Raw genomic sequence first — 12,404 nt, forward strand, 5'->3', positions numbered from 1 at the left:
TATGCCCGTGTCCATTAGCTTCCAAATTGCTTCCCCCAGAGTGAATATGTCTCTCTTCAGCTTATAACTTCTTTGGGGCTCACAAGCTGTGTGATATTGGTGCCATCTATGATAATGTCAAGTCACACATGGTGTCCCGAATTTTGCGATAAATAGGTCAAAGGGCTATTGCTATTGCCCAAAGAAGATTAACTGCCCTTATAATTGCATTTTTGCCATACAGCCAGAAAATTGGACAAAATTTATGAAATAATTGTTTTGAGAAATTAGACAACAGGCAGTGTAGATCTGTGCTCTCAAAGAAAAGGGTAAAAAGTGAACTTAGCCCATGATTGCCTTACTTCACTGTCTAAAGGCAGTTTTTATGGTGCCACAGAGACAGAAGGAGGGAGGGTGAGATGTCTCAAACAGAGCCCAGTAGTTGACCTGAGATGAGAACATAGAAATTAGAGTATCAGGACTGCAAGGTGGCTAGAATATAGGACATAGTACAGGAGAAGAAAGAGAAAGAGAGCTGGAGATCTGCAGAGAGGTGAATCTGTAATAGTGGACTGTGCATTTATTTGTTTATTCATGGGTTCAAACTACACAAAGCCATAGAAAGAACCATTAGAAAGTAGTAGCAAACCAGTTTCCAGCACTTACTCTGGTATATGAACTGTTGTGTTCCCAGCAAAGAAATAGTTGCTATTCCATCACTAGGAGATTGGGGAGGTGATTCAGGAAGGCATTTCATGACTTGGTAGGTAGAGGTTCCTATCTCAAAAAAAAAAGAATGTTTTGTTGTCATTATCATTGTTCACTACCTCACCCATACTTAAATAGAAGCATTAAAATTGATTGACCAAAAGGCGTCTTTGATGTCTCCGCATTGGGAAAAGAAGGTCCATATGTTGCCTAATGAGCAGGGATTCAAACTCTGAACTTTTTAGTTGCTGCATTCCTAGGGACTAGTCACTGGCCCCTGGGTTAATGAATACAGCTTGATAGACTATAAGAAAAACAGATCAGTGAATACGTTATTGGAAACCTATCCTTGACTATTGCAAACATACAATGCATTTCCAATTATAATCTAAATTTTTATTTTATTATTATAATTTGTTTAAGAAAAGAAGTTTGAGATTTTAATTTTTATTTAGAAGTCAAATAGAGAGCTGGCTCACATGGTTTTGGATGGTTGGTGCTATGGTCTAAATGTCTCACCCAGAATTTATGTGCTGGAAACCTAATCCTTATGCAACACTGTTGAGAGGTAGGGCCTAATGGGAGGTATTTGTTTCATGAGGATTCCTCCTTCAAGATTAATGCCCTTAAGGGCTTGAGGGAATGGGTTTACTCTCTTGCACTTTGGTCTTCCACTTTTCTGCCATATGAGGACAGAGTTCCTCTTTTTGCCCTTCTGTCTTCTGCCATGTGATGACATAGTCAAAATGCCCTTGCCAGTTCTAGTGCCTTGATCTTGGAATTGCTGGCCTTTACAACTATGACAAAATAAATTTCTGTTCATTATAAATTACCCAGTCTGTGGTATTCTGTTATAGCAGCCCAAAATGAACTAAGACAGTTGAGGGTACATTTAACATTCGAGTTAAGGACTTGATCTCATAGGATTCCTGAATTCCCAAGTAATGGGAGAAGACTTAACAGATTTCCTTTAATTTCTTTCGAGCCCACTTTGCAGGTAAAATAACCACTGGAGTTCAATAATTTCTTAATTATTTCTCCATGTGCTTTGGAATGTTTATATCAGAAATTGAGAAGAATAAGACTCCAATCATGAGTAGAGTGACAAAACAGAATTTGAAAGTGGAAATAACTGGTGTATTCCACTACTAGAAAATAGACATATTGAGGAGTACTTGATAAATATGTTCTGCTTACATCACATTTGCACAGATATTTTTTGTTTCAGTTATAAAAGTCTTATTTTTAGCCTCTTAGTGATGAAGCAGACAGTGGTAAGGAGGCAGCTAGACATAATTTACAGATACTTTCTTACTCATATATCTTTGTATATATGAGTAAGATATATAAGTATATATATATATATATACTGATATATAAGTACATATACATAAGTACATATACATAAGTATATATACATATATACTTATATATATAAGTATATATATATACTGATATATAAGTACATATATATACTTATATATCTTTGAATCCAGTATTTCTGACATCTCTAACAATTAGTAGGAAGCAATATGTAGATATTGGTTAAAGAAAAATAACCTTTCGATTTAGACTGCCAAATTTTAGAGTATATACAACTGATTCAGTGCAAGTATTGGAAGTATTCACTTTATGATCAGTATCTCAAAGGGACTAATGATCAATGTCAGAGTTGTGACTCATGAAAAGATGAGATAACCTTCTGTTTTGGGATGTATCACTAGCTAGGTTAGGTTAGTAATGACACTTTTACCAACTGTAGAAGTTTTTTTTTTTTTATTACTTCACAACAAATAATCATAAGCTTAGTAGCATTAAACAGCACAAATTTATTACTTAACAGATTCTGAGGGTCAGGAATCTAGTCATAGAGTAGCTGAGACCTCTGCTCAGGGCATTAGACAGCTGCAATCAAGATGTGCATCTCCTATTTGGAGATAAGGAATAATCCACTTCCAAGCTCACTGAGGCTATCGGCAGAATTCAGTTTCATGTGACTATAAACCAAGTGCCTTGGTTTCTTGCTATCTGTCTACTGGAGGCTGCACTCAGTTCCTGGAAGCTGCTCACAATTCATAGAGGCCACCCACGTTTTCTTGTCACATGACTTTTCCAACATGTTCACTTAGTTCATCAAGCCAGCAAAGAGAGTTTCTTGAGACAGTCTCTTAGCAGTACAGAATCTTATATGCCATAATATAATAACAGAAGTGGCATCTCATTAAATTTTCCATATTCTATTGTCTAGGAGTAGGTAATAATACCCCACTCTCATGCCAAGAGAGGGAATTATACAAAGCTGTGTACACAAGGAGGCCGGGATCATGGGCAGCCACTCTAGACCGTCGTCCACATCAGCTAATGTAATATAATAGTCACAGCCAGACAAAAGCTCTGTGACATAAATGCATCTCCTTTGGGATTTTTCTTGTCATATAATTTTCTTCAATCTTGTTAATAAATACAAATGCTGAAACTATTTTGATTAATAGCATCAAAGTCAGAAATACAGAAAAACTGAAATGAGCTCTGCAATTAAGATGTTTTATATTTGGGTTGCACTTTACACTTTTTAGAGTATTCATATATATATATTTCATCTTTATTTATTTATTTTATAAGTATTCTGAATGATATCCAGGGCAAGTAGTGTTACACATTTATTACAGGAGAGAAAAATAAATGGTTTCACAATGGACCCAGACCTAGAATATGGTCCTGCCAGTCCTTAAAGTTTTTTCTGGGTGAATTTCACTAACTGAAAATATGAGTGACATCCTCTTCTCTTGTGTTATTACCCAGCAATTACTGAAGCTGGGTAATTGCTTACAAGTACAAGAAAAATTGAGAGCTTCACATGAATATAGACTTATTTAGTGGCAATTTACTCCATTAAACTTTATTTTGAAATAAAATTTGAAAAATGTTAATAGTAATAATAAAAAGTAATTATATTAAGTAAGTAGTAATAATAAATAAATAATATGACCTGTGATTTCTCCAATTAAGGCTTAGTTTTCTTTTTTAAACAAAGCAACTGTGGCATTTAGATGATTAAACTATCCTTCTGCAATTGTGACAAGGCACTATATATTCTAATTTATAATTTATATATTTTTCCATCATAAAAATAAAACTTTTGTGTCTGCAGTAACCAAAACAGCATGGTACTTGTGCAAATGTAGACACACAGACCAGAATAGAAGAGAGACCCCTGAAATAAAGCTATACATATATAACCACCCATTCTTTGACAAAGTCAACAAAAATAAATAATGGGGAAAGATAGCTTATTTACTTTTTAATAAGTGATACTGGGAAAACTGGCTAACTACATGCAAAAGGATGAAACTGCACCCCTACTGATATGATTTGTATGTTTGTCCTATTCAAATATCATGTGGAAATGTAATTCCAAATATTGGAGGTGGGGTCTGGTGGGATGGGACTGGATCATGGCAGTCGATCATTCACGGATGGTTTAGCATCGTCCCCTTAGTGATAAGTGAGTTCTCACTCAGTTAGTTAACGTGACATCTGGTTGTTTAAAATAATCTGGGATCTTCCCCTTCTCTCTCTCTTGCTTGCTCTTGCCATGTGACATACGTGCTCCCACTTTGCCTTCTGCTATGAGTAAAAGCTCCTTAAGCCCTCACCAAAGCTTAGCAGATGCCAATGCCATGCTTCCTGTACAGCCTGCAGAATGGTGAGTCAATTAAATTTCTTTTCTTCATAAATTACCCATATATATTATAGACAGTTCTCAAAAGAAGACATAAAAGTGGCCAAAAAAACATATGAAAAATGCTCAACATCACTAATCATCAGAGATACAAATAAAAATCACACTGGCCAGAATGGCTATTATGAAAACGTCAAAAAATAACAGATGTTGGCAAGATTGTGCAGAAAAGGGAATATTTATACAATGCTGGTGAAATTGCAAATTAGTTCAGCCCCTGTGGAAAGCAATTTGGAGATTTCTCAAAAAATTAAAAATTGAATTTGACCCAACAATCTCATTATGGGTATATACTCAAAGAAAAATAAATCATTCAGCTAAAAAGATATCTGTCCTCCTATGTTTTTCACCACACTATTCACAATAGCAAAAACATGGAATCAACTGAGGTGCCCACTGATGGTGGATTGAATTTTTTAAAATGTGATACATAGATACAATGGAATATTACGCAGCCATGAAAAAGAATGAAATTATATCCCTTGCATAAACAAGGATGCACTGAAGGCCATTATCCTAAGCAAATTAATGGAGAAACAGAAAACCAAATACCACATGTTCTCACTTACAAATGTGATCTAAACATTGGGTACACATAGACACAAAGATGGGAACAATAAACATTGGGGATTTCAAAAGAGAAGAAGGGAGGGGAGAAAGGGTCAAAAAACTACCTATCAAGTACTATGTTCACTACCTGAAAGACAGAATCATTAGAAAACCAAACCTCAGCATCATGCAATATACCCATATAACAAACCTGCACATGTACCCCGAATCTAAAATTTTAAAATTAATAATTTAAAAACTTTTAATATTGTTAAATAAAATTCTGTCGAAACAAAAAAATCTATGTCACAATTTCCAGTTTAATGAAACTTGGGATGTAACTTTTTTGCTTCTTTTCCCCTATGATTTCCTCCAGGCACTAGAGACTACAATTTGCATTCCTCTTGTCTTTACTGAAGGACTACAGTGTGCATATTGTCCAATTTGAAAACATTTAAGAATACCATATGTATTAAGAATATATAACTAAGAAATAATATTTTTCTTACCACTGTCTCCACTATTTTTACCATTAAGTTCAATGGGTTAAATCTAATTTCTCAATCATGCTGAACATTCATATGTATTTGGCATATTAATTTTCAGATATACAAAATATCAATAATAAAACAAATATGCTTTGGAAATTTGCAAAAGATTAAGTATTTAAAGCATCAAAGAGGTAGCAATTTTGGTTCTAAAGTTCTTGCACTTTTCACTATGGCTCAGCTTCCATAAACACCATAATGCTTCCTTGCGTCCCTACGGGGTACCGTTCAATGAATGGTTCATTTATCAGCTTGTTTCAGAATAGAGAAAATATTGCCACATATAGTACCAAAAAATTTTATTGTGTCTTACAAATTGTGAGCATTTTTATAAAACAGTATGAGACAGTGTATAATGAGTGCATGACTTATTCTTAAAATAGTGAACTGAGACTCAAAATGTCAACTTGTGTGAATGACAATTGTTTCGATGTGGAGTAAAATGTACTCTCTAGTTTCACTTGGTTGCTCTGTACTAGAAAGTGCTGAAGGAATCCAGCAGTGATTAAGTAGGCTGTCAAATGGAATGTCTTTAGAGGGAGCCTAAACTATTATTTAGGTTGAAACAATGGTATTAAAATCACAGCCATTAGGGACAAAGCAAAGAAAGAGTGAACTGCAAAATGTGCAAATCTGTATAAGGGATATGAATGGAAAGATGTTTTCCTGGCTACTAATATCTCAATTCTAAGACTCTATAATTGATATACACTTGGAAAAGTGATGATGAGACATTTTCTAATAATGACATAATTCTCATCCATCATGGCTGGCCATCCATCAAAGCTTTGTGATGCTTTGATTGATGAAATGAGAAGAAAGCAAGCATTCCCTGTTTTAGCTAAAGGACAGATTCATTTTAAAAATTGCACTCTGCTTTCAAGATTAAAATAAATCTCTTAATCAAGTGGATGTTATCAAATAAATGGCTAGCTAGTAACAGATCCTTAGGTCTTGTGATAGCAATTAATACTACCATGAAAACAGGTACACATAAGCACTACCATTAGATTGCAAGAGTCAGCCCTTCCTATTGAAGCCCTCTTAACTTATGGGCTTCAGTGCATTCATGCCAGAGGTGCCTTGGATGCCTGACTGTGGGTCACTGTTGGGCAAAGAAGACATCCACAATCATGAGAGCCAGAGTAGCATGTGGAGAACAGTATCTTGAATAAAATTAGTGCCAGGAGCTCAGGTGGGGAGATAAGTGGATTAGAAGAAGCAAGCAAATCCAAGGCAAGGTTATTTGGGCTGATTCTGAAAATGGCAGTGTGCAGTAGGACAGGGATGATACCCATGTGTATGGAAGTTCTACTTAAAGTAAGTAGGATGAAATGAATCATGTGTGAATGTTTACCAACTCAGTATTGTGACTTGGAGGAGAAAAACAAACATATATTCCCGAGAAAGGCCAAATCCATGAGAGAAATGTGCATACTGTCCAATTTGAAAACATTTAAGAATATTATATGTATTAAGAATATATAACTGTATGTATTAAGAATATATACCATATGTATTAAGAATATATACTATATGTATTAAGAGTGTATATAAAGAGAAGGTGAAACAGTTTCTGGTGAAGTATATTTATTCTTTTCAAACAATTTTAGAGTAAATGAACACTGAAACTGGAATTGATATGTAAACATTGTGATTTATAAAATCACACAGACATTTTTCTACTGATTTTATTTAGAATTAGATTATATTAGTCGGCACAAAATGAGAACTATATTTTAAAATAACTAATGATATTTAAATAGGCTGTTAAAATACATGATTGAGTCACCAAAATCAAATAAACCTAATAGTCCAAAATAAAAAGACAGAACAAAATGCTAGGAAATATTTATTTTAATTACATGATCCTTTGTCAAAATTGAGAGTATAAAGGGTCAGGTTACTGAAGAGTGAGGAATATTTTCTTTGGAAAGGCTATTCCACATATCCCACGTTTTAATCTAAGCGTACAGGGAGAGTTTGATGCGTCCTCCGCATTGGAGGAGTGGGAGTGGAGAATACCATGAGTTCATATGTGTATCTACCACTACATAAATGGCCAGAGATGAAGTGGCTTTGTGGGGAGGGCCTGCATTCTCTGAGCATATAAAGGTTAAAGAAGAGTGAGTATGTCATTTGAAACTGATGTAGGCAAGAGTAAGATCGAACTTCAGTAAAATTATCTCAAGTCCTGACCAAGTGGGTTACTTGGAAGAGCAAACTCAGCACAAACATGTTGAATTCGTATTGACACTCTGATGGGTTGAGGAAGATAAATCAATGAGGTAAGTGAATGGGCCAAATCAAGAATACCACAGGTGAGGGGTCCTTAAAAATTGGGGCAGGACCAGGAGGCTCAGGAAGGAGAATTGCTTGAACCTGGGAGGCGGAGATTGCGGTGAGCTGAGATCGCATCACTGCACTCCAGCCTGGGCAACAAGAGTGAAACTCCGTCTCAAAAAAAAAAAAAAAAAAAAAAAAAAAAATATATATATATATATATACACACACACACACACACACATATATATACATATATATACACACAAATATATATATACATATATACACACACACACATATATATATGTATACGATCAACAAATATGCCTACACAAATTGAAGCTAGTTTTAAAAAGTGTCAAGGTCCAGAAAGTATAGAACTAGCTATGACAGTAACAATCAAATACAAATGTCCTTTCCTCTACTTAACTTTTCTCCCTCCCTATGCTCCAACTTGATTCAGAAACTATGGTTGGTGATATAGTGGCAGAACAGAGAGAGAAGAAAAAAGCTGAATAGACCTTCTTCTTTTGTTCATTTGTTTTTCTATCTGTAGACCCTAGCTGGGAGCAGAGTAGCTGTAACTTTGAATGAAAGTAGAAGCTTGGATTATTATATTAGTCTGGACATTCTAAATAATGAATCACATCTATGCATTTGCTGCTTTAAAGACACTTTGTGTTGTCTAAGTTTTGAACGCTAAGCTTTTACTCAGGTTAGAAAAATCTAGCTTCCCTGAATAAAGGTAAAAAGAACAGGGAAGAAGAAAATACATTTGCTTTGGGATTCGATTCCACTAGCATGGCTTGTTCAATATACTGATTGTGTTATATGCGGGTCCATTCAGAATTTTTGTAGCAATCTCTATACATTACCAAAAATGCATGCTGGATTTCCTAAAAAATTCTTATACAAAAAAACGGAGCCAGGATGTCCAATGAAATTTAAATGAAGATCAGATTTTTACTTATTATAGACATTCTAACATTCTGAGTCACGCTGTGTTTGGCAATTTAAAGTACCATGGCTGTTATCTAAGAGCCACCACATAAGCCCTGGCAGTGCCCAACTTTTCATACAATATCAGCAAAGAACTCACTTGAGTGGATGAAATTCAAAGAGACATTTGGAGATAAAATGAAGTCTCTTCATGACTGTACACATGTGTCATGGTATAAGAGGAAAATAACACACCAAGCAAGCAACCAATCAACAAAACAAACTCACCTCCTCAGAAGCTCAGTTTATATTCACCAAGTGATTTAGGCTCTGGAAGGTTATGTTCTTCCTTTCTACAAAAACTTGAATAAGCTTCTGGATGCTAAATTATGGTTATTTGATAAAAAAATGTAATGCTGGTCAAAATCAAAATTACATAGAAAAATATCTTTTTCGTGCTTGGGGTTTTTCTTGATCTGTACCTCCAGGTAGCAAGTCTATACTCAGTTCAATGCTATTTAAAATTTTCGGGGGGAAATCATGGACCCCTTTTAAAGTCTGAGGAAAGCCTTTCCTTTTTTGCTCTTGCTCAAAAACATGCATATATGCACTTAAGGTGCATCTGTTGCTTTTGGTGGCCCATATCACTCCCTCTTCATTACAGTAGATTTCCCCTCTCTTCTGTCGAGGAACACATTGAAGGTGCATTTGGAGCACATTAGGGTGCATTTGGAGCTGACCTCACCCTCCAAATGGAAAGCACTAGATATGTTACCCAGGCCTGACCCTTTAGCTATGGACCTCCCTTACCGTGGTGGTTCATTCATGTATGGACACATGAACTAAGCTAGACCAGGTACAGCTCTCCACATAACTCTTGCTGAAATTGTGGCAAGAGTGCCTTCTTTCCCTGAGGCTCTAAGGTGATGGAGTGTGAGACTTGGGCAGAGGGAAGACATCATTTCTGGCATGTTTCAAGGGTCTGTCTTGATGGTAGAGAGCAGATAAAGCCCCAATATCCTTTAAGCTTCTGGAACAAGAACTTCTTGAAGCCAACTGTACCCCTTGATTTTTGGGTAATATGAACTAAAAAATTCCCTTTCTAATTTAAACTAGTTCGCATTAGGTTTCTATTTGCTGTAACTTATGCCCAAATTGCTAATGTTGTATTATAACTTTATGGGTTCCTGAATCCAAGAAATTCATTAACCTCTCAACCCAAGTTAAGAAAATCTCTCTTTGTGAGTCTTCTTGAAATAGACTCCTGAGAATTAATGAGGGAAAAAGAAAACATTACCAAAGGAGAGAAAAAAAAAAAAGACATACATATCTCCTAATTCTTGAGTTTTTCCTAACTCCCTATTTCTTGTTTACCTCCATTACCTCTGGGAAAGAAGATATATGTCTCTTTTGAACAATAAAAAGCAAATAATATGTTAATGTTTATAGGAGGAGGGATATGATGGTTAATATACATGCAATCATTGAATTTGTTATAATTACAGGCAATTGTTCAATAGAACGTCAATTTATTTATATATCTGAAAGCATTTAGTACATAATAGGTGATTAAAAATAATTATAACATGTGTGAATAAATTATCAGTTAAGGGTGGACAAAGTTTGTAGGTAACTATGACTAGTCATGAATACAATGTGTATTTTTACAAATTTGATCCTGGCTCATTATTCTTAAAATGCCATGGCATGTTTATCTTCATGAGAATATGAAGTATTTTTCCTTGAAGAGTAAAGTTGTTACAAGAGAGGATAGTTTTGTGTGTGTGTGTGTGTGTATGTATTGTATAGTGTGTGTATCTGCGTTTGCTTCTACTTGTGTGTTTACATTTATGAAGTAAAAGAAGAAAGTGATAAAGGGGGATTTTTTTCCACCAATAGATGGAAGAGAAAAAAATCTCATTTCTCCCTTAGTTGCAAAGAAATGTCACACACTGGAAAACAGCTGGTAAACAATGGCATAAAAAAGATAAGTTACATTCACACTATGATCATTATCTCAGCTGAAGATTTTTAAATATTTTCTCTATAATTTAGAAATGACTTCTGTTTTCCATGTTTGAATTGTTGAGTTATGCTAAGCTTTCCATTGAACACTTTTCCTTCCTTCTTGACTATTATGCTCCATATATCGTCTAATTCAAAGCACCATCATCTCTTTGCAGAGCTACTGCAATGGCCTCCTAAAGTGGTTTTTCTGCTTCCACCCTTGCTTTCCAGTCTATTTTCCACTGATTAGGCAGAGTGGTCCTGTTAAAGTGTAAATGAGACAGTCATACCTGTGCCCTATCTCTGAGAAAATTCAAACCTTTCCATTTCTCATAGGCAAATTATCTGATTTTATCTTCTGATATTCCCCTCTTTGCTCTTACTCTCCCCTAGGCTAAGAACAGTGGTCTCTATTAAATTATGTTCTGCTTAGAGCACTCTTCCTCCTAGATACCAAATGATTCATGTTCTAACTTCCTTCAGGTCTCCGCTAAAACATCATTTTGTCAGAGATACCACTCTGATCACTTTATATATAACAGTTACTTACCACCATTATCATTTGTTATTCTTTTATCTTATTTTTTCTAAATCTGACATTATTTATTTATTTGTTTATTGTCTATCTGCCCTTTATTGAAAATAAGCTCCAGGAGGACAAGGGTTTTTTTGTTAACAGCTGTATTTCTAGTTCTTGGAAGAGTGTGGAACCATAATGAAAATCTGTTGAATTTATAAATTTTCTTAATGAAGAAGTAACTTGCACAGACTTCATAGTATGAAGGCTGAGACAACCACAGGCAGATTAAAATAGTAATACCTAACTTTTATTAATGCACCTGAGACAGAGTTCAAGGGATATGCAGGATATTAAAAGATAGAACCAAGGCCAGAGACACTGTCTTAGAAATTATTTCTTTTTTTGTTTTTCTTGCACCTTGTGAGAAAGAATCAGCTCTATATACTTCTAAAACATAAATCAGTAAAGTTTCTGACACCTGACAAAAGGGTAGAGAGGCAAGATGCCTTATTTATAAGAAGTCATGCTCAGAGAATAAAAATCCATGTGGCAGAGACTGTGAATCTATTGTAAGAAGGCTTGGAGGAGCTATCACAACAGTCACAATCCACTCTTCAACTTCTAGAATGTCATGAGGCATAATGCATTGCTAAAGAGCTGCCAGCTCCCTCCCCAGAGGAGATGCCATCTCTTTGACAAGTGAAGTAAATTTTCTCTGCTAATCTGTGAAGATTCTCCAGCCCTTGAGTTCTTGAGAGTATGAATGCAAGATACTGTGGGTGTGAAAAGTTAAAATAAAAAAGAGTTATTCATGTCATTCACAAGTAATTTGTTTTTGGGAAAGACCTGACTTCTTTTCTGAAGTGGTATATTAAGGTTTCAAATTAAATACTTATAGTAAGAAATATGTTATTTCATATGTGTAGTTGTAGATTACCTTACCTCACAATTACTTTATTATCATCCATTGAGAACGTTCAGTATGATTCCTTATAGCCTATACTTGAATACAAAAAAGGTGTTGAAGTGCGTGTCACTCTAGGGTTCCCTCTGGCTATACCCACCCTCACCATTGCTTCATAGGGCCCAATTTATGGAGGAATATGGTAGCATATGGAGTCCAATT

Source organism: Homo sapiens, chromosome 4, assembly GCF_000001405.40.
Source record: "Homo sapiens chromosome 4, GRCh38.p14 Primary Assembly".
NCBI classification, from domain to species: Eukaryota; Metazoa; Chordata; class Mammalia; order Primates; family Hominidae; genus Homo; species Homo sapiens.